Raw genomic sequence first — 24,114 nt, 5'->3', positions numbered from 1 at the left:
ACAAGCAAGTCCACCACCACAACTGCTTCACACCATCACCATCACTTGGAATGGAGGCTCACTTTTTTCTCCCTCTTATATTCTCCAGCCCTGTCCATGGCTCACTTCCCTACCTGGCCATCGCCTAGTGATTTCCTTGACTTTTCCTGACCCATCCATGTCCTCAAAGACTCTTACAGACAATTCCACTTCCTTGTTCATTTAGCAGTATCAGATCTACTTTATTTTCTTTATCAGAAATGAGTGAGGGGATCCAATGTGACCAGATCTTAAGGTCCCTCATCAATGTCTTAAGTGCAACTTGCTCTAAACCCCATAATATTGTTGTCTATCTATAGCTTAAGCTGGCAGATTGAAAAACTCCTAATAAGAGATATCATTCACCTCCTGAAAAGGGAGCAGAACATGTTTGACAAAAAACTAGCTGAATTGATTGAGAGTAAATGGGAATATTAATAAAAAGGCCTACAGGTATGACTTAGAAGAATTATATTGGGAAATGTCACCAGGTTATCCCAAGTGAAAGCAACGAGGAAAAGAAAGTCACATGCTTATTTATCAATTCATAGTGATGAATAATAAGTAAACTGTATGTTCAGAATATATTTATCTATGTAAAAATCAAACACAAAGAAGGAAAGAAAAAGTGGAGATTAAGAAAGGAAAACAGTAATGGTAGTCTTGTGGAAGTACACATACTATAAACCACCAGCTAGATGGAGAATTCAGATAATCTATTTCTAAGTCTAGATACAAAACCATGATTTTGGTAAGACGTAGTAATGTTGAGGAGCTTCACCTCACCAGGAGTATGCTGCCAAGTTGGTAGGAACTTACAAAACACAGTATCAGAAAGGCTAAATTCCAGAATGCTGAGGCATGCAAGAAGAAAGAAAAAAAAATGATAAAGATTATAAGAAGGTTGTTTGGAATAAGAAGACAAACAAGAATGTTACAAAACCAGTGGTCAGGCCATATGACATAATAATAAAGGGTGACAGGAAGGCAGCTATACTTATCAATTCCTGTTTTGCTTAGATTTAATTTTCTCTCTGAAAATGGTAGAACAAGAATCAAAAAGAAAGACTCAAAGCCCCCATCTAAGGTGTAAGATAGTAGGAAAACAGCATGAAGTCACTTCAAGTGAATTCAACTTTTCAAGCTTAGACAAATTACACTCCAGGGTTCTGAAACAACTTGAGGGCAAGTGTGCAAAATCAATATTAGTAACTTTGAGACATCCCAAAGAATGGGGGAGCTGCCAGGGAAATGGAGATGGGCATAGGTAGGCTTTGTTCAGATGATTTTGAAGGATAAAATTAGATTAGGTTAACTATTGTCCAAAGAGCTTAAATATACCACCTCAAACTATATAATATTAGATATTAATAAATGAGAGCATGCTTTTTTCTTTTTAGACTGGTCAATCAGTCTATCATTAGAAGGATGCCACCTGCTGGGCACCGTGGCTCACGCCTATAATCCCAGCACTTTGGAAGGCCAAGGCAGGAAGATTGTTTGAGGCCAGAAGTTCGAGACCTGCCTGGGCAATATAGCAAGACACTGTCTCCAGAAAAAAAAAATTAAAAAATTAGCTGGGCATAGTGGTATGCTCCTGTAGTCCTAGCTACTTAGGTGGCTGAGTGGGAGGATCGCTTGAGCCCAGGAGTGAGCTATGATCATGCCACTGCACTCCAGCCTGAGCAACAGAGTGAGACCTTATCTCTAAAAGAAAATAAATTTTAAAAAACAAGTATGTTAGAGTATCTCTTAGTTCCAAGAAGACATTTAACTAAGCCTCAGATAGATTCTTATGGACAAGACTAAGAAAAACTGGCCAAGTCAGTTGATGGATGTCAATTTTTCCTAACAGAAACTCCCAGTGTGTTGTGTTTAGCTCTAGCCTATTCAAATATTTTACTGACAACTTGAAAAGCGACTTCAAAGGCAAACTTACACATTTCCCAATAGCCAAAGCAAGAGGGCTAGTTAATAATACAGATGATGAATAAAAACTTGAATTGACTTTGATTGGCATAAAATGAGTTTAAAAACCAATATTATTCAAAGTCAATATAAAAATGAGTTTAAAAACCAATATTATTCAAAGTCAAATGAAATTTTGCAGGCAAAAACATAGAGAAGCTTTTTTATCTTAAACAAAAAATTAGGTCCCATGTACAAATTGGACAAGACCTAGTTTGCTAGCAGTTCAAATAAAAAACTTGATTCTGAATAGTCATAAAATGCTTTATCATGAACCATTTATGTAAATTTAAATCAATAACTGTTTCAGGCATTGAGCTAGACTCTTTCCCCTCCTCCATAATTATCCTCCAGTAAGTAGATAGAGGGTTCAGCTCTACAGACATACTAGTCTGCTCAACTAGACCCTGTGTAAGACACATCTTTCAAAGGGATAACAGATTTGGTAGAGAAGAGGGTGAAAAATCTGAAGACCACATTAAAAAAAAAGTGGTTATGTAAAATAGAAATTCTTAGTTTGAAGAAATAAAGGTTTACAAAAGCCATGAGAGTTGTCATGAAATACTTGAAGGACTGTCATGAAAATAAGGTGGTGCTCTAGAGAGCAGAGCAAAGAATGTACATTATCACAGAGAGGAACACATAGGCTCTTGATGAAGAACATTTCTTCACACCTGCAACAGTTTAACTGTGTACCACCTCAAAAGGAATGCACTTCCTATTAGTGAAGATGCTCACAAGTCTGTGACAGATGCTCTCGGAGGAGTTCCTCAACTGAAGGGGAAGCTGCAATAGAGGACTATACAGTCCCTTCCAACACCATCATTTCATGATTCTGCAAATAGTGTGTCCTAATTAAAACAGCACCACCACTAAGTTGCATCCCTAATCCAAAAGTGTTCAAGTTGGATAGCTTTAGTGGATCTAAGCCTTTGAAGAACCATCTGTTGTAGAAACTGAGAATTAATTTTATTTTGGATTCTAGATAGATGATAGATAGATAGTTAGATAGACAGATAATGTCTGTCTGTTTATCTATCTATCTATCTATCTATCCATACATACATACACACACACACACACAGAGACACATTTTCCAGACTTTTATTTTAGGTTCAGGGGGTATGTATTCAAGTTTGTTACATGAGTAATTCAAGTGTCACTAAGGTTTGGTGTACGAATAATCCCATCACCAAGGTAGTGAACATAATACCCAATAGTTAGTTTTTGAACCCTCACCTCTCTTCCACATCCCACCCCAGGAGTCCCAAGTGTCTATTGTTCTCATCTTTGAGTCTGTGTGTACTCAACGTTTAGCTCCCAGTTATACGTGAGAACATGTGACATTTGATTTTCTGTTCTGGCATTAATTTGCTTAGGATAATGGCCTCCCACTGCATCCATGTTGCTGTAAAGGACATGATTTCCTTCTTTTTTATGCCTGTGTAGTAGTCCATGGGGCATATGTACCACAATTTCCTTATCCAATCCACCTCTGAGAATTAATTAATTTGTCTCTCTGAACTCTATCTATTGAAGATAGACTTCTGCCTTAGGAACTATCTTTTGAGGATACAACAGATGATAAAAGCATTTCCTGCATATTCCCATATATGTAAATTGGTCCACCCGAGGTCTAAACTTAGCAAGTACCAAGGAAACTGGGGCAATGCAATAGAGCTCTTAGAAAACCGACAATTATCCAGGCACAGTGGCTCACTCTCGTAATCTTACAACTTTGGGAGGCCAAGGCAGGAGGCTCACTTGAGCTCAGGAGTTCAAGATCAGCCTGGGCAACATTGCAAGATGCCATCTCTACAAAAAATTTAAAAAATTAGCTGAGTGTGGTGGTGGGTACTCAGGAGGCTGAGGCAGAAGGATCACTTGAGCCCAGGAGTTCGAGGCTGCAGTGAGCTATATTGACATCACTGCACTCCAGCCTGGATGACAGAGCAAGATCTCATCGAATGAATGAATGAATGAATGAATGAATGAATGAATGAATAAATAAATAAATAAAACTCACAATAGTATTGCAGTTGATCATCCCTGGGTGAAACTCATTATGTAAGTTTTCCTTTAATGCCAATCAGGGTCCTGATAACAGATATTTTAAACTGACTGACATGCGCAGTGGGGAGTGGAGACCAACCTAAATTGATACAGAGCAGAGAGCAATGGTTAATCTTAAACTTCCTTCTTTGTCTATTCCTTATATTTTAAAAACAGCAACATGAAATTAGAAAAATGTAGAAAATAAAAAAAAGTGACTTAAAAATACTTTCTCCACAAAAAGTGATCACCTCCCGGTAACAAGAAAATGGACAAGGACTCAGAAATATGGTGCTAACCATTCTTCTATTTATTTAGAAACCTTTTTTTCTCAAGCTTCTCTAAAGAGATTATTACTGTTGTTACTGTTTCTATTTTACACATAGAAGAAGGGAGGAAGGAAAGAAGGGAAGGAGGGAGGAAAGAAGGAAGAAATAAGTTAATTGACTTGTTCAAGACATTCCCTCAGGTCAAGATGAGGAGCAACATCACCAGACCATTCCACTAATATTCCCCTTCCTCAAAAAAGGACTGCCCTCTAAACAAAGAAACCAACCAATGGCCTGCCCTTATTGTACCATAAAATTAACTACCTTCTTAAGCACCGTTTATTTTTGCTTCCTATTTGTTTCATGTGTTAGTTTTATTTCCTCAAATAAGAGAATGTACTAACACTTTTAAATAGGAAAAAAAAAAGCCAGAAACAAAACTAGAAAATGTACCAAAGGTTTATCTTTCAGCTCCATCCTCCCACAGAGATATGAGTAAGATTAAAGTGATGGCAGAAAGAGGACACAGTTAGTACCATTATCATTTCTAGTGGACATTTCTCTGACAAATAATACTTGGAAACCACATTATCATTAATGATGAATGAATCCTATGTCTAGAAAAGTTAATAAACAAGGCATTTCCTCAGTGAAAAGAGTTAAAGCAAACCACATAGGTGAAAGTAAAAAAGATAAAACTTTTGCATGCTGTTGCATTCCAGCAGGGAGTGGGTAGTTCCTGTGCATTTTCTCCCTGAAATAAACTTACATCATCCTCACTTGTATCATTTTGTAAATTTTTTTTGTAGAGACGGGGTCTCATTATCTTGCCAGGCTGGTCTCAAATTTCTGGGTTCAAGGGATCCTCCTGCTTCGGCCTCCCAAAGTGCTAGGATTACAGGCGTGAGCCACTGTGCCTAGCGGATTAATCCTTTAAAAAAAAAAAAGAGGGCCGGGCGCGGTGGCTCACGCCTGTAATCCCAGCACTTTGGGAGGCCGAGGCGGGTGGATCATGAGGTCAGGAGATCAAGACCATCCTGGCTAACAAGGTGAAACCCCGTCTCTACTAAAAATACAAAAAATTAGCCGGGCGCGGTGGCGGGCGCCTGTAGTCCCAGCTACTCGGGAGGCTGAGGCAGGAGAATGGCGTGAACCCGGGAAGCGGAGCTTGCAGTGAGCCGAGATTGCGCCACTGCAGTCCGCAGTCCGACCTGGGCGACAGAGCGAGACTCCGTCTCAAAAAAAAAAAAAAAAAAAAAAAAAAAAAAGAAAGAAAAATTGGCTGGACACGGTGGCTCATGCCTGTAATCCCAGCACTTTGAGAGGCCGAGGCAGGTGGATCACCAGAGGTCAGGAGTTCAAGAACAGCCTGGACAACATGGTGAAACCCTGTCTCTACTAAAAATACAAAAATTAGCCAGGTGTGGTGGCAGCCACCTGTAATCCCAGCTGCTTGGGAGGCTGAGGCAGGAGAATCACTTGAACCTGGGAGGCGGAAGTTGCAGTGAGCTGAGATGGCGCCACTGCACTCCAGCCTGGGTGACAGAGCAAGACTCCATCTCAAAATAAGTAAATAAATAAAAATAAAAAATAAAAAAAATTGTAGGTATTTTTAAATAGCCTTTCACTTTGCAATGAAGATGCTACCTATAACACAGACAGGTATAACCCTGCATTCCCCTTTCTGCTGCCCCATGTCTTGATTTTCCTTTAGACAAGCTATACTTCTGCTCCTCCCATTCACTCACCCCTTAGCCCACTGCAATCTGGCTGCCACTCCTTCTTCCCTGCTGGAAGCCTCTCTGGCCAAAATCAATAATGACCTCTTTGTTGCTAAATTCAATGGACACTTTTCTGTCCCCATCCTAACCAAAAGCTCTGCAGGATTTGACATGGTTGGCCACTCTCTTGCCCTTGAAAGTTTCTCCTCCCTTGGTTTCTATGACAACTCCTGGTTTTCCTCCTCTTTGGGCATTACCTTTCAGTCTGTTTCAGTCTATATACCCAGTCCTCAAATTAGTGATCACCAGGAATCTATCCTAAATTCTATTATATTCTTTCTTTATTCCTTTTCTTAATCTCACCCACTCTCACGGCTTCAACCCACATTCATTTGAAGATGACTCCCAAATCAATTTCTACAGATGAGACCACTCTCCTGATGCCTAGACCTTCTCAACAGCCAAAGGCCTATTGGGAAAGCTCTTCTAACTGTCCCACAGGCTCCACTCACTCAAAAATATCTAAAATGGAACCCATCCTCCCTCCCCATCCTCACCCTAATCTGTTCTTCCTGTAGTCCCTGCTTCAGCAATATGTCAAACAAGCCAGAAACCGTCAGATGTGTCTGACTCCCACCTGTCCCTTGTCCCTTATCCCACACTTTCAACAGCTTTCTAATCAATTCACTTCTTCTCTATCCCTACCACCAATACCCCTAGTTTAAGGTCTCAATCAGTTTTTATCTGAACCATGTCAACAGCCTCTGACTGGTTTCCCTACTCCAATCCATCCTCCATGAAAATATGGTAAAAATATGAACCTGAATGAATAATGTAAATTATTGCCATGTTTTCAGACACGACTGTGTAATATGGTTTCTGCTTACTTCTCCAGTTTATTCTTTTGCTGCTGCCCCCTTTCCACCCTTTTCAACAGTTCCGAGATCCCTCTTGCCAAGGCCTTCCATATATGCAGTTTCCTCAAAACCATCCTATCTTCCCTACTCCCACCCCAACCAGAACGCCCTTCATCTGGTTAATTCCTATTCATCCATTCTGCTTTAAATATCTTATTTAACAGATCCTAATGCAGTATTTATTGTGTTTTCATTTCATTTTATTTTGAGGACAGTCTCACTCTGTCACTCGGGCCGGAGTGCAGGGTATGATCATGGTTCACTGCAGCCTTGACCTCCTGGGCTCAAGCGATTCTCCCACCTCAGCCTCCCAAATAGCTGGGCCTACAGACATATGCCACCACACCTGGGTAATTTTTTTATTTTTTATTTTATAGAGACAAGGTCTAACTATGTTGCCAAGGCTGATCTTGACTTCCTGGGCTCAAGTGATCCTCCCACCTCAGACTCCCAAGTAACTGGGACTATAGGCATGTACTACTATGCTCAAGTAATTTTTTAAATTTTTGTAGGAACAGGGTCTCACTATGCTGCCCAGGCTGGTCTTGAACTCCAGGTTTCACACAATCCTTCTGTCTTGGCCTCCTGAACTGTCAGGATTACAGGCATGAGCCACTGTGCCCGGCGAATATTTATTGTGTATCAAGTACTGTTCTAAGGGCTGTATGAAAAATGAGGCACAGAAAGGTCAAGTAACTTGTCCAAGACCCATAGTCAACAAGTGGCAAAGCCAGGATTTGAACCTAGGCAATCTGGGTTACTAGGAAGATTTCTGTGCTCACACACCATCCAGTGCATACCTCTATCATAATGTTTAACTAACTACTGGATTTTCCTCCTCCCTTGTCTATCTCCCTCACAAAACAGTCAGCTTCTCAAAGGTATAAACTCTATCTTAGTTGTCTTTGAATGTCTAATTCTTACCCCAGGAACTCCGACTGAACATACAGACACTAAATGTCTACTGAATGAATGAATGAGTTAGCAAAAGGTCATAATGGATAAAGCAAACATTTCTAAAACTGTGTTCTTTAAAGAGATAAATAGGCACCCACCTCCTAAGAGTCTCCATACTTCTTTATTTGCAAGTCACTTAATATTATATTAATGCCTACAACCTCTTTTTTAAATGTTATGTTTTATAGAATCAGAATACTCAACAAAACAATAAAAGTAACCAAGCAAAGCTACCTTATGAGAGGGATGTCATACATTTTAAATTCACTAAAATAGCTTCATTTGATAAATTATTCTTTTTATTTTAGTGTAAAATTATAGTTAGAAATACTACCAGAGCCATGACAATAATTAGAATAGAAAAAGAATGCAACAGTTGACTATCTTCCCATCTAATGCTGATTAGTCACAGAGAGGAAATGCCAGTCTCAGAGCACATTTCTAACAACAACAACAAAAACGTGGCCAAGTACGGTGTCTCACAACTGTAATTCTAGCACTTTGGGAAGCTGAGTTGGGTAGATGGCTTGAGGCCAGGAATTCGAGATCAGCCTGGCCAATATGGCAAAACCCCATCTCTATTAAAAGCACAAAAATTAGTGGGGTGTGGTGGCCCATGCCTATAGTCGCAGCTACTCAGGAGTCTTAGACACAAGAATCACCTGAACCCAGGAGGTGGAGGTTACAGTAAGCCAAGATTGCGCTACTGCACTCCAGCCTGGGTGACAGAGCGAGACTGTCCCAAAAAAAAAAAAAAAAGTGTCTCACTCTGAATGAAAAGATGTCATATCCTCTTAATGGATAAAACTATATATAACAGAGATTAAAAGTCACTTTAGAGCACTTGTATGAGAGAACAGAGTATAAAATGAAGACGGTTCATATGCTATCTACACATGTGGCCTTCTGGGTCAACAGTGAACAGAACACCAGTAGTATAGTATCGTATTGGTCAATTACAGGTACTTAAATAGTGTCTACTACTTGCTGAAGATGTTACAGGTTTTTCAACAAAAGACTTTAATGTGCCATGAAAATTTAAATCATAGCACACATCTAGTACTTAATTTCTGTGACAAGGGAGCATTCTGACTTTGAACTCTTTGGCTAAGCCTCCTTTCGCCTTATGTATACTTTCACAGCACCCTCTTAGTTTCTTTCCAATTATCCTATTCCCTTCCTCTAAAATATTTGTCTCTTTCTTTTAAAATTATTGCTGATTTGTCCAAAGATTATCAGGGGAAAGGGTCCTGACTAAATGACATAAACTTATCCTGTCCCTAAGGCTGAATAAATAAATAAAGTAAATAGCCCAATGGTAAGAGGCTAGCTTGATGGTCAAACAGGCTGGTTTTCACATCTCAGCTCTACCATCACATACCATATGACTTTGGACAAATTACTTAAGCCTCTCTGTATCTCAGTTTCCTCATATGTAAAATGGAAATAATATTAGCAGAACAGTTGTAAGAATTAAATGAGATGATGTATGTAAATCGCTTAGCATGGTTCCTGAAACGTAAGTGCTCAATAAATGGAAAATATGGAGGTGAGTGGTTGCCTCAGACCTCACACCAGATTCTGAGCACTGCCACAGTATTTTGTATGAAAGGACTCTATCTGCATAAGATTCCAGGATTTTGGAGTTGTTATTGACTGTAAAGATCACCAAGTAAAATCTTCCATTTTAGAAATCTTTTCTAGGATTTCTTAAATCCTCCATGTCAAGCACTAGATAGGTAAATGAATTGGTTCAGTTTGCCTGTCTTGTTAATGAGAAAGCCACAGTCTTTTAAATAAAATTCTCTTCTGAATTTTATTTAAAAGACTCAAAAGTAATAATGAGTACAATCGAAATATCATTGTGTATCACTGTGAACATACATTCAAACTGTAGGTTAGTGTTCTCACTCACAAACGGGAGCTAAATAATGCATACCTATGGGCATAGAGTGGAATAATAGACACTGGAGACTCGGAGGGGAGGATGAGAGATGAGAAATCACCTAATGGGTAAAACAATGTACACTATTCAAGTGATGCTTACATTCAACGCCCAGATTTCACTACTACACAATATGTCCATGTAACAAAACTGCACTTGTCCCCCTCTAAATCTATTAAAAAATGAAAACTAAAAAAAAATCTATATGTTAGAAACCCATATTACACTTCGCCCTGAGTAAGCTAAACTGTTTCTGGTATAATATTGCCAACAAAGGAAAGCTCTCCATAGGTATACAAGGTATGTCATATATAGGACTCAGTTTTCTCTTCTGTAAAATGAGAATAATAATTATGTGATTCTCAGGACTATTATGAAGATGAAGTGAAGTGACATGTACAAAAGCACTTAGTACAGTGCTTCACTCTGATGTCTCAAAATTTACTGGGCTGATAATGATCTCTATTCTTCAGAGCAAATTCATCTACAGTGACATGAGTTTTCGACAAATCTTTTCCACTGCTGCCATTTAAAAAGCATACTTTGGTATAGAGCCCAGGATGTTTTGAAGAAAGCATGGCCTCAATGCTAATGGACTGGCTGTGTTCCAGCATCTTTTTGTTGGGAACTCTCCCTTGCAACCAAATGTTAAATACAGATCATAGGTGACCTTGATAAAACTACTCAAGAAGGCAAATTTGACATCTTTCTTTCTTATGCATAAAACTCCAGGGAGTTTCAAGGCCCAGTGGTAATGGCCTATGGAACACAAAGGGCAACACGCACAATTCCCTTTAGAACTTCCAATCCTTCCAATCTTATGCATAAGCCATCTGCTTAGAGTCACCTGAACAGTGAGAATTTAGAGTCTTCATGCTCAGGTTTCTGGAGTAAATTTATAAATACAATTAATGTGACATAGAAGGCATGCCCACGCACTGCATGACACTGTGTAAAGCCCCGTATCCAGTTCTTTGTCTCAGCAATCTGAGAGAATAAAGATCTTGCAGATGTGGGTTTCTGCCCCATTAAACAGGACTACATAATCTTGTGACTACATTACTGCCACGTACTCTACCCTGAACCCTAGAACACCACCTGGAATTATGTGGCTAGGTAGAATAGATGAGACTTTTTACAATAAAACACTGAAGAAAACAATTTTAAAAACATCTGGTTTCCAGGTCTTGCAAGTTGTCATATATTGTGTACAGAAGTTTAGGTAGATGGACATTCATGAATGAGTTGTTTAAAACTTTAGTCTCAAGCCCCATTCTCGGCAGTCTCTATGAAGATATACAGAGAATATACAGAACACCCACAGTTCCTTTGATAACTTGCAACAGTTCTCACTTTAAGTATTAAATGCCTCCTCAATCAATGTATGATACAATGTATCACTGGTTTAATCATTACAAAACAACTTGTAAAGAGGAAGTGACAGAATTTGACTCATCCAGTCACTGCAAGCTTTTAGAGTATGCCTTTGGTTCAGAAAAGAGTGGATAGATGGTCAATAGATCTTGGTAACTGACTTCTCTCACACCACATGGAATAGAAAAAAGATAGACGGAGCCTATAAATTCCTTGGGTTCAGTGTCTCCCTAAGAGCTCAGCTTAGTGATAACTTTATAGTAGACATTTAATTCTATACTAGTAGAAATTAAATTGATTTAATTCCTTTACTATTCATCTTCATATAAGAAATGTTACATATATGCATTTTATATGTAAATGTGATCTTACATGACTGTCAGTCTTTTTTCTTTCTTTTTTTTTTTCTTTTTTTGAGACAGAGTCTCACTCTGTCACCCAGGCTGGAGTGCAGTGGCACTACCATAGGTCACTGAATCCTCAACCTCTCAGGCTTAAGCCTCAGCCTCTAGAGTAGCTGGGACTACAGTCATGTGTCACCAGACCTGCCTAATTTTTTTAATGATTTGTAGAAACGGGGTCTCCCTATGTTGCCCTGGTTGGTCTCAAACTCCTGGGCTCAAGCAATCCACCCACCTCAGCCTCCCAGAGTGATGGGATTATAAATGTGAATCACCACGCCCAGTGGCTGTCAGTCTTAAAAACATATATGCTGATGTTCTTTGTGCTGGTATTGGCTCTTTATCAAGGTATTTTTGTGAATATGACTACACACACATTCCTTTTCTCCACATTTCCCTTCCCGATTCCCTGCCCACATTTTAATATGACTTTCAATTCAGGCAGGTCAGAATGAATCTATCCTATTTCAAAAATCCTAGAACTCTACACTGAATGACGGAAGGATGGATAAAGACACTCTTCACATAACACCAAGACTTTTAACACAATGAAGCTGGGTCTGGGACAAAAATGTATGGCCACAGTTGAAGAAGCCCCCTATGTCTTTGTTCTAGGATGTAAGTCTAAGAGGGAGTGGAGTTTACAGACATCATGTAGGACATAGGCTTACTTACTGAAGTCTGAGACTTTGGGGATCCTTAATCCTTAAGCCAATAAATAAGCAAGAGTATCATAATCTTCTGCCACGAAGTGTTTCTTAAATATATGAGCAGTTCAGGAGTTTGAGGCTGCACTGAGTTATGATCACCACTGCACTCCAGCCTGGGCAACAGAGTGAGACCCTGTGTCTAAGAAAAAAAGAAAAAAAATTATATATACATTTTAGGTTGGTGCAAAAGTAATTGTGGTTTTCAGTTCAAGACATTGTGGCAAGTGACTGGACAGGAAAAACTGAGTCTTCCTGCTGTGTGAGAGAGGTTCTTCTCTTCCCTTGGGGTGAATTATGTTTGTCACTCTGTACATTTTCAGGTCTTTTTTTTTAGGATTATAAAACTATAATCATAGTAATCTGGCAGAGAATTCCCATAGGGGTTGGGAAGGAGGATGCTTGAGTGATTAGTCACCAAAGAGAGCCCAAAGAAGTGGACAGAGCTGGTAAACTGGTGAGAGAGCCTCAGGCATTCACCAGATTCAGAAGATTGCAATCATCTCTTTTGGCAAATGAATATAGAACATTTTTCTCCAACAGAAAGAAGAGCTTAGCCGATGTACCAGAAAGAGACATAAGATTTGAAAACAGAAAAAGGGGATCATGTTTCCATCTGATCTCGGAGGAAACAAATGTGGAACAGGCAAGATGTAAACAAGATGTATTAGTTTTTTATCGGTGCATAACAAATCACCAGAAATTTAGCAGCTTAAACCATCACTCATTTATCAGTTCACAACTCTTTAGGTCAGAAGTCTGGTATGGCATGGTTGAGTTTTCTGCTCAGGGAATCACAAGGCTGAAATAACAGTGGCAACCAGATTGAGTTCTCATCTGGAGGCTCTAAAAAAGTTCTGCTTCCAACCTCATTCTTCCTGGCAAAATTCAGCTCCTTGTAGCTGTAGAATTGAGGTCCCCATTTCCTCTCTGGCTGGCAAACAAGGGCCACTCTCAGCTAAAAAAATTCCTTGCTACGTAGCTGCCTCCATCTTCAAGCCAGCAAATCCTTCTCCTGCTTCGTCTCTGACTTCCCGTCTCTGACCTCTAGACCCAGATTTAAAGGGGTTATGTCATTAGGTCAGATCCACTCAGATAATGTCACTGCTTTATGGTCAACTGATTTGGGACCTTAACTACATCTGCAAAATCCTTCCACAGCAGTATCTAGATAACGTATGGCTAAATACCTGGGAGAGGGTGTGTGTACAGCAGGGCCGGGAATCTTGGGGGCCATTTTAGAATTCTGCCTACCACAGGAGACACCTGTTATCAGGGCTTGTGGTTTCATGTGAGACCATGGCTTTCTAGCTTAGAAAGATAAAGAACCAGTACAAACCAAAGCACTTAGAGATAAGTGGGTCTTAGACAATGCCAGAGCTTTTAAGGCTCTGGATTCACAGAGAAACACAGAAGGCGTATGTCTTTGTCTAATGTTCATCCTATGATACCCAACAGAGTCAGGAATGAGGCAGGAGGGGACTTCGAGCTGGTTGTTCCCATAAATTTTGCCAGCACATAGAAAGCACATAGTAGGATGCTAAGTAAATACTTGTTGAATAAAAGAACTAAGCCCATTTGAAGGCAAGCATTAATTAACATTAGAATCACAAATCTGAACTCAGCATATTCTGTGCTTTTTTCTTTCTTCTGTCTCCCTAAATCTGCAGGAAGATGTCCAGGGCCAAGTTTTTCCCCACTCTCTACCAGGATATTTAGAGTGATCAGTGTGCCTCTGATGGGCAAGCAGCCAATGAGAGACAGTACTGCAGGAGGGACACTCAAGGACAGCTGTCTTGATGATCCCTTTCCACTGCAGCTTCAGCTCAAAACTTGCCCTCCCTTTTGCATTATAATTAACCAAATTTAGGCCGTTAGAGATAAGGAAAGAGAGAAGTAATGTTATTTGAACTTCTCCTATGTGTCAGATATATTACATAAGCTCGTATTTAATTCTCATAGTAACCCTATGAAATGGGTATTATTTCAAATGAGGAAATGATAGTACAGAGATGGCATTTGAACCTGGGTATTCCAGACCCCAAGACCTAAACATTGTACTAATCTTGTTCCATGCATTGCTAACTTTTACACCTGTGATGATTTTTTTCACTGCCTTTTAAGTTTAGGGTCATCTTTCACCTATCATATCTTTCTTGTTTTTTAGAGATGAGGTCTTACTATGTTGCCCAGGCTGGAGTGCAGTGACTATTCACAGACATGATCATGGTGCACTACAGCCTCAAGTTCCCGGTCTCAGGTGATCCTCCTGCCTCGGCCTTCGGAGTAGCCCCACAGGCATGCACCACCACGTCAGCATCATCTAACATTTTTTAGAGCCACTCTTCTTACTTGAACCCTGAATTCCCAGCTTGACCAATCCCTGCTGAGGTACTGTCTTTCCAACTATCAGCATAGAACAGTTTTTACTTTTACTTCTGCTGAGCTTATTTCCAAGTGACTGCTAGAGGACCCAATAAGACTACTGATATTGTTCAACTAGGTTTGTGTACCTGGAAAATGTCCTCTGAATCCTAGCACATTAACATTTTCTTTGAGGATACAGAAAATAACAATAACAAAAAACCTAAGCTTGATATTTTTCTGCTCAATCAAGTTCTTCCCCACCCTCAGGACCCCTCAACACATTTTGGACACATTTTGCAGAGCCAAGCAAGCCAACCCAAGGGATTTATACTCACTTACCCTTAGGATTTGTGGTCTATGTTGTGAAGTAAAAACCCCCACTAAAAAGGCAACTTTACTGAGAGAGAAATGAAACCAACACCAACTCATATGTCATTTTGTTGTATGGTCAGTCTCTCAGTGTGCACTACACTGTATCAGCATTAGGGAAAATTAAGTGAGAAAAACATTACAACAGCCCAGGGACACTTCTACCTAAATTTTGTGATTACATTTTAAGTGCTCTCTGTCACAGATATCATAAACTGATTAAATCATTTCATGCCTGACCCCTACTGACTATGCTAAGTGAAAAGAGAGGGCTATTAATAACTACCCATTTCTGACAGCTGCCCAGGGGCAACGCAGCCTTTTGCAGCAGTGAAATGACTCCCCAGCTCACTTACTGAATGCTGAATATTGATTCATATTATGAGTGTTGTCAAACACAAGAGTGCAGTGCTGCAGATCCGTAGTGGCAGGTCATCAGGAATAGCATTAGCAAATGTCAGGTCAGGAATCAAAGGCCTGCTGGACTCTTTAGGGATGAGATTTATCGATTCCATAAAACGTGAAACAGATCAAGTACTTGTGATGATGGAAATGGTCGTGGCAGAATGAGGCTGAGCCTGCTCTGATGTAGACCTCAGGAGAGATGCATCACACAAGTGACCACTGAAGAAAATGCTAAAAGTTGGAATTTCCAGGACAAGGCCAACAGCGGCTTTGGGCTAAGAAGGAGATTTTAGGGCTAAATGTCAGAACTTAGATGTGAAATTGGTCATAGGTATAGGGGTATGTGCATGTATGTGTGTGTGTGTGTGTGTGTGTGTGTGTGTGTGTGTGTGTGTGTGTGTCCTAGCAGTCTAAGATAGCCAGATCCAAAAGAATATGATCAGATACTGATGAATGTTATAGACAAAAGATAACTCTCTATATAAAAGATGCAATTTGCTAATCTTACCTCTTACATAAAATTTTTAAGAGAAATTTACTTACAGTTTATTTTTTCTATTCTTTAGTCTTACTTAAAGTCTAAATTTTCCTCTGATAAGAGAAGGCAAAAAATATTAGAATCTTATAGCTTGTTCATCAAAGGATCACTGTAGACTTGTTTTAAATGAGTTGATGATCCCTCCTTTTGAAGATACTTAAATTATATCTGGCTTCTAGATTTTCATCATTAGAATTAATTTTTTAATCAAAGGCTCCCATACTGTCACTCCACTCTTGTATTATTCTACAAGGTGTCCATTAAAACTGTGCCTTCATAATCCCCTTCTCCCCTCCGGTATCTTCATCTTGATATAGTTAAAAAAAAAAAAAAAAAGACCGAGTCTAGAAGTTAGAACACCGGATTCTTCTAATCCTTACTCTGCCACTTATCTTGTGACCATAGACAAGTCACAACCTCCCTGTATCTCAACTTCCTCACCAGCAAAAAAAACAAAAACAAAAACAAAACAAAACAAAACAAAAACTGCATGTGTACTAGCTCTGAGAAAGGTTTTATACAGAGGATCAATAATAGACCATAAGTTCCACGAGGAAGAGCAGGGTACATGTATTATGACTCATTTTGATGTTCTCAATGCCTAGTAAAGAGACAGGCTCAGAGTAGTAACTGATTTTTTAATTTAAATAAAAGATGGATATACTTGGGGACTGTAAAGGTTTACTAAGTTTTATGTTTCTCTTATTATATGTTTATTTGCTAAGTGTAGTACTTGGTCTAGCATCACTGGGAATGTTTTGGAACTCGCATTGCTAATGGTGGTTTGCAGAAGCAATCCTTTCACCTCTCCTAAGAGCAGGACACAATGTTTTCTTTAATTTTGCCCCATACCGTGACAGAGCCTTGAGGTCTATGTAAGGGAAAGCTAGCAGCTGCTAAGTTCTAATTCTGTTTATTATATCTGAATAGGTAAATGTAAGTTGGTTGTCATCTAAAGCTTGAAAGAGTTTCTGCTCTCTATGGAAAATTTGCTGTTTGGACCAGTGTATTATGTCCTCATTGATTAGCTTTTATCTAAAAAGTAAATTTCAGAAAATTAAACAAAATTATTCTTTAAAAAATTATTTATAATAACCTAGTCATCATTGGATTACATCAGATAATTCTACCTCTTAAATAAAATTTTTAAAGGAAATGTACTTACAGTTTATTTTTTCTATTCTTTAGTCTTAAAGTCTAAATTTTCCTCTGATAAGAAAAGGCAAAAAATATTAGAATCTTATAGCCTGCCCATCAAAGAATCACTCTAGTCTTGTTTTAAATGGGTTGATGAGAGAAAATGAACAGGTGCTACAGATTACTTGGCTGATCTAAAATTAAAGATTGATATTTTTCCTCTTGTTCTATTAGCAGACCTTTAGTGACATGTTAGCACTGGATAATGGTTGCAGCAGTTTAAGCCTCATGCTGTGATTTTTAACAGAAAGCCTAGCTACAGCAGCAAACAATGACATCTCCCCAAAGCTAGTAACCTAATAAGGAAGCAGTTGCAGCCTTAGGCAGTTTGACTAAACAGCAAGAGAAATCTGACTTCCAATGTACTGACTCCACTTTAAAGACAATGGCCTGGCTTAATTAACACTGTATTCATTTGTAACTCAATCAATTGTAGAATTTTTGTCCTTTAACCATTGACTCTACCAGCTCAAAAAGAAAAAGAAGGCTCAAGCTGCTGGAAGTCTTGATTTGTATAAACAGGCATTTCTGAACCAGTGACAAAATAAATAACCCTTGGCATTAATTGCTAACTTTCCCAAATGTCCAGGTAATCACTGAAATAATCATTGACACAGGAAAAGAATTTCATTGACTATTTTAGGTATAAACATGGGATGTATTTAACATAATACCAAAATTTAAATGTTTTTCTCATACTCCTCTTTTGGGGAGCACTAAATTAAGAACATTAAGCCTACTCAAAAACGTCTTTTTCAAATTATTTTTCCAAGAGTAGTATAGTAGATTTTTGTCCAGAAAGTGTATGGAATCTCATAAACTTCATTTGACCTATCTTAGCCCCTGAGCTTTGGTTAAACCAATATTTGCTACCTTCTGAACAGAAACTAAAATAAATGCTAACTCGACCAGGTTATCCTACATTAACTTTGATTTTCTAAATACATCTGTCAACAGACAATGAAAGTTAAATAGATAAATGCTACTAAAATAGTATTCTGGCTTTCATAAGTGAGGATACAATTTCCAGAGAAATAAAATACATGATTACTACATTACATCAACTATGTTGTGTAAAAATTTGGTATTTTCTAATTTTCTATCTTGTAAAACCAACCACCTAGCTTTCCTGAAAATCCTTGCATTCTCAAAAATTATGCACCAAAAAATAATAATATGGCTTATAAGAAAAATAGGGTTGGGTTGGACCACTCAAAACTCTACCCGGCACATAAAGAAAAATAATAACAATACTAATAAAAATACTAGCATAGTTAATCTCAGCTGATGTTTACATTCAGCACCACAGTCAGTTCTTTGTAGCCTTAATCCTGGGGGCTCATTCTTCCTCCTTCTAGATATAGGTCCCACAGGGCATTTGATTCTAAAGAGACTATTTTATATTAAAATTAAAAGCATAACTAATCCAGAACAGAGCTCTCTTTATTAATTCATTGCTTTAATACAGGGAAATGTCTTTGCATCCTTTTCATTTGTGCTGGTGGCTACACTTACACGGCAGAAATCATACTGGAAGAAATAGAGGCTCTAAAAGGCACTAAATGAGCCACTATTTACACTAAAAGAAGGCACTTCTGTAGATTCTCAGCTTTTCTCTTAAGGTCTTCAGTAAGTAATGAGATTTCTCTTTAATTGGGAGAAAGTGTGCCCCAGTTGCTTCAAAGCATTAATTTAAAAAGCAGGAAAATCACATATAAATGAACATAATTTCCAGGTTATTCCTACTTTATTCCCCTAGTTAAAGATACTAGTAAACGATAATTTGCATCTAAGAAGCTATATGATACTTAAACTCGGTTCTCTATTTTAATAAGTAAGTATAACTGTTAAAAGCTTAATAATAGTGAGGAATGGAGGATGAAGGGAAGTAAAGTCTAAGCTCTCTAACCTGACACCCAGGATCTCCCGCCATCTGACCTAAATTAGTCTAGGTTTCCAGTTTTATCTCCCACACACAGCTCACCAGATGAAGCCATTCTGGGATGATCTTTTATCTGGTCTCTGTCTTAAGTACCCCATAACTGCTATCCTGAGACCCCAGTTTCTCGGAATACTGTCCCTGCTTCTAGGCCTGACAGTGGTTCTGCCTCTTCCAGGAAACCTCCCCTCTCCCTCTTCCTTCTTTCTCTGACCTCTTCTTATCTTGCAACTAACTCATTTAGATCTTTCTATATAATGCCTTGAATTGCCAGCCAAGTTTCTTTACACATGTATAGAAATATATACATATATGGAGAGAGAAAGAGAGAGAGAGAGAGAGAGTGTGTGTGTGTGTGTGTGTGTGTGTGTGTGTGTGTGTGTGTATGTGTATGTGTCTTACCTCCTGAGTTAGACTCTAAGCAACTTGAGTGGAGGTCTTTGCTGTCAGCATCTTCTATTTTTTTTGTTGCAACACCCAAATGCCTAGCAGTGTTTATGCATGGAAATATCTCAGTAAGTACTGGTTTGAGAATTTTCCAGTTGATTTTTGGGGGCCCTATATGGAAAACATTTATTTGTACAATGACAACTCTATGCTTGCTGCATAAACTCCAAATGACTTGAAAGAAATTATGTGCCTCCTTAAGCACCAAACAGTATCTGAAAATAATTTATGTTCACAGGGGAAGACTTAGATTTGAGCTGACTATACTGTTAGAGACAAAGATATGGCCTTTTTTTTTTTTTTTTGAGACAGAGTTTCACTCTTGTTGCCCAGGCTGGAGTGCAATGGCACGATCTCGGCTCACCGCAACCTCCGCCTCCCGGTTTCAAGCGATTCTCCTGCCTCAGCCTCCCAAGTAGCTGGGATTTACAGGCGCGTGCCACCATGCCCGGTTTAATTTGTATTTTTAGTAGAGACAGGGTTTCTCCATGTTGGTCAAGTTGGTCTCAAACTCCTGACTGCAGGTGATCTGCCTGCCTCAGCCTCCCAAATGCTGAGATTATAGGCGTGAGCCATCGTGCCCGGCCGATATGGCTGTTTTTACAGCTTTTCTGAAGTAATAGTCTTAGTAAAAATATATATGTATCCTTTTTTTTTTTTTTTTGAGACAGAGTTTCACTCTGCCACCCAAGCTGGTGTTCAGTGGCACACTCATGGCTCACTGCAGCCTCAACCTCCTGGGACCCAGTGATCCTCTTACCTCAGCCTCCCAAGCAGCTGGGACTACAAGGATGCACCACTATGCGCAGCTAATTTTTGTATTTTTTGTCAAGATGGGATTTCACCATGTTACCCAGGCATATATATATGTATCCTTCAACAGTAAAAATTCAGTGAGGTAGCAGGATATAAAATTATATTCAGAAACTGATAGCCTTCAAATACTGTACATACATAATAACCGGAAAACTTCCTTTTAATAGCAACAAAGATAATAAAATATAGATAAACATAAAAAGAAATGGCAAAACCTAAGTGAGGAAAATTTTTAAAGACTTCTGAAAGCCCCAAGAGTAGACTTGAACAAATGGAAAGACATCTCCTACTATAAGACAGAATGACTCAACAGCATAAAGATGTCTATTCTCTCTAAGCTAATTTATAAATTCAATGCAATCTCAATAAAAATATCACTTTTTTTAAAATGGAACTAAGTTGGTACTAAAGTTCATATGAAACAACAACATGCAAGTTTAGTCAGGAAAATACTGATAATGAAAACCTATGAGATGGGACTAGCCATACTGTCATTAAAACATTAAGCTTCTATAACTAAAACATTGTGATACTGGCACACAAATAGACTGACCAATAGAATAGAACAAAAGGTACAGAAATATACCCATGTACATATAGAAATTAGTATATAATAAAATGACATGTCAAATCATTGAGACAAAGATGAACTTTTTGGTAAATGATGCTAGGATAATTGCTGAGCCATTTGGAAAAAATGTAATTAGACACATATCTTACATCATGCATAAGAATAAACTTCAAATGGATCACAGATCCACATATATAAATATAAATTTTTTTAGCTTTGTCCCCTCTGGGGGCCTAAAAGCAATTACATCTCAGTAACAATGAGTATATCTAGAACCCATATCTGAGTTTCTTTTTTGAGATAGGGTCTTGCTGTGTTGCCCAGGCTGGAGTGCAGTGGCACAATGACAGCTCACTGCAGCCTTGCCCTTCCAGGGTCCAGCGTTCCTCCCACCTCAGCCTCCCAAGTAGCTGGGACTACAGGCATGTACCACCATGTCCGGCTAATTTTTGTGTTTTGTTTAGAGATGAGGTTTTGCCATGTTGCCCAGGCTGGTCTTGAACGCCTGAACTCAAGGGATCCGCACACCTCGGCCTCCCAAAGTGCTGGGATTACAGGCATGAGCCACTGGCCTGGCCTCGTATCTGAGTTTTTAAATAACACTTTCCACTAAAAAGAATCAATGTTCCCTGGAGGACTCACTGGTTCCATGGCTATGTCAGAGAAAGTACAAGATGATCCTGGAACACACTGTTGTATTAGAAAGTTAAAAAGTACACAAAGAATGGTAAGATAAAAGGACAAAGGGACCAGCTTGAAGGGGTTCTCACAGACAAAATCTGGGACAATTTGAACATCAAAATAAATAATGAAAGCAAAGATTTTAATCCACTGAATAACACAGGAATCAATTAATCCATACTAAAACATATGTACATATATATATATGTATATACATATATAAGAGAGGGAAAATGGGAAGCCTCTCCTTATAACAGAATGCCAATTAATGAATGTAGAAGGGACAATTTGGCAACAATTATATTAATAATTGATTTGGGCATGATTATTTGTCAATGTATGCTAAAACTGAAAGTTTAATGAGGAACAATATGTTTCAATAGTTTCAAAGTATCGCCTCATGATTGCTTATTAGTTATAAAAAGAAAAACAGTAACTTTACACTGGAAAACCTGGAAGCCATCACCTTTGTCATCACCAATTGATCACAGTCAAGATCACCAATAATGAGACACATCAATGTCATTCCCTGATATGACATGCCAATAAAGTGCATCATCATTTCTGGTAATATGCTTGCCAAAAGTGCCTAACCCGCATATGGTCATGAGAAAACAGAAGACAAACCCAGAATGAAGGACATTCAACAAAATAACTGGCCTCCTCAAAACTGTCAATGGCAAAAGAGACCAAAGAAAGGCTGAGGAACTGTTCAAAGTTAAAAGAGAGTAAATAGACACAACAAGCAAAGGAAAGGCATGATTGTGAACTGGACACTAGCATAAGAAAAATAGCTATAAAGACTATCATTGAGGCAATTGATGAAATCTGAATATGGTTTAAGGATTAGATCACAGTTTTGCACCAACATCAAATTTCCTGATTTTGATAATTGTACTGTGGTTACATAAGAGGAAATTCTTGTTCTTAGAAAATTCACACTGAAATACTTTTAAGTAAAGGGATATCATGTCTGCAACTTACTTGCAAATGGTTCAGAAAAACAATATAGACAGATTAAAATAGATTTAAAAGATATAAAGAGATATAGAGAAGTTTTTTGGGTTTTTTTTTTTTTTTTTTGAGACTTCTGGAGTACAGTGGCACAATCTTGGCTCACTGCAAACTCCACCTCCTGGGTTCAAGTGATTCTCTGGCCTCAGCCTCCTGAGTAGCTGGGATTACAGGCATCCGCCACCATGCCAGGCTAAGTTTTTGTATTTTCAGTAGAGATGGGGTTTCACTATGTTGCCCAGGCTGGTTTCGAACTCCTGAGCTCAGGCAATCCACCCACCTCGGCCTCCCAAAGTGCTAGGATTACAGGCGTGAGCCACTGCGCCTAGCCGAGAAGTATTATATACATACACACACACACACACACACACACACACACACACACACACACACAGACACACACACAGAAAGAGAGAGAAAGAAAAGTGTAGATGCAAATAATTGGTATACCAATTATTTGGTATATAATAAATGGGACAGATGTAATAATTGGTATTATTATAAAGGGCATACAAGTGTAAGTAAATGGTATGCAACTTTTCCTTGGGTTTGAAGCTAAAAAACTTTTTTTAAATGATTATTTGAATAGCTTTGGGGGTACAAGTGGTTTTTGGTTACATGGTTGAATTCCACAGTGGTGAACTCTGAGATTTTAGCACACCCATCACCCTAGCAGTATATATTGTGGCCAATATGCAGTCTTTTATCTATCACCCCCACCCCAACCTCTCCTCCTGAGTCCCTGAAGTCCATTATATCACTCTGTATCTTTGCATTCTCATAGTTTAGTTCCCACTTATAAGTGAGAATAAACCATATTTGGTTTTCCATTCCTGAGTTAGTTCACTTAAAAAATGGCCTCCAACTCAATCCAAGTTGCTGCAAAAAACATTATTTCATTCCTTTTTATGGCTGAGTAGTATGCCATGGTGTATATATACTACATTTTCTTTTTTCTTTTCTTTTCTTTTTTTTTTTTGTTTTTGAGATGGCGTCTCGCTCTGTCGCCCAGGCTGGAGTGCAGTGGCACAATCTTGGCTCACTGCAACCTCCACCTCCCGGGTTCAAGCAATTCTCTGCCTCAGCTTCCCGAGTAGCTGGGATTACAGGTGCCCACAACCACACCTGGCTAAATTTTTGTATTTTTAGTAGAGACAGGGTTTCACCATCTTGGCCAGGGTGGTCTTGAACACCTGACCTCGTGATCCACCCGCCTCGGTCTCCCAAAGTGCTGGGATTACAGGTGTGAGCGACCACGCCCGGCCACATTTTCTTTATCTGCTCATTGATTGGTGGGCACTTAGATTGGTTCCATATCTTTGCAATTTGGAACTGTGCTGCTATAAACACATGTGTGCATGTGCCTTTTTCATATGATTTCTTTTCCGTTGGGTAGATACCCAGTAGTGGGACTGCTGGATTGAATGGTAGATCTACTTTT

General features: G+C 38.9%; 1 protein-coding gene across 9 annotated transcripts in view, besides 2 other annotated features; it reads right to left on the bottom strand.

The window, feature by feature from the left end:
- The window catches only part of CAMKMT (calmodulin-lysine N-methyltransferase), a 410,646-nt gene that overhangs the window by 210,567 nt on the left and 175,965 nt on the right, over window positions 1–24,114 (bottom strand). The window contains exon 1 of one of the 9 annotated variants that reach the window (XM_011533113.3): window positions 12,298–12,453. The exons of the other annotated variants lie outside the window; for them this stretch is intronic. The gene's annotated coding sequence lies outside the window, so the exon portion shown is untranslated. Of the gene's footprint in view, window positions 1–12,297; window positions 12,454–24,114 lie in introns of those variants that run through there. 9 annotated transcript variants of the gene reach the window in all.
- Window positions 8,242–8,536: a silencer, noted in NCBI's record as "tiled region #6726; HepG2 Repressive non-DNase unmatched - State 23:Low". NCBI's record gives its function as "represses a minimal TATA promoter and a strong SV40 promoter by Sharpr-MPRA in HepG2 cells {active_cell/tissue: HepG2}" and the evidence as "EXISTENCE:reporter gene assay evidence [ECO:0000049][PMID:27701403]".
- Window positions 17,192–17,970: an enhancer, noted in NCBI's record as "OCT4-NANOG hESC enhancer chr2:44771195-44771973 (GRCh37/hg19 assembly coordinates)". NCBI's record gives its function as "activates a minimal SCP1, AML or CMV promoter by ChIP-STARR-seq in primed H9 embryonic stem cells {active_cell/tissue: H9 hESC(primed)}" and the evidence as "EXISTENCE:reporter gene assay evidence [ECO:0000049][PMID:30033119]".

The sequence above is a fragment of the Homo sapiens genome, chromosome 2, assembly GCF_000001405.40.
Source record: "Homo sapiens chromosome 2, GRCh38.p14 Primary Assembly".
NCBI classification, from domain to species: Eukaryota; Metazoa; Chordata; class Mammalia; order Primates; family Hominidae; genus Homo; species Homo sapiens.
This window is presented reverse-complemented; position numbering and strand designations above follow the sequence as displayed.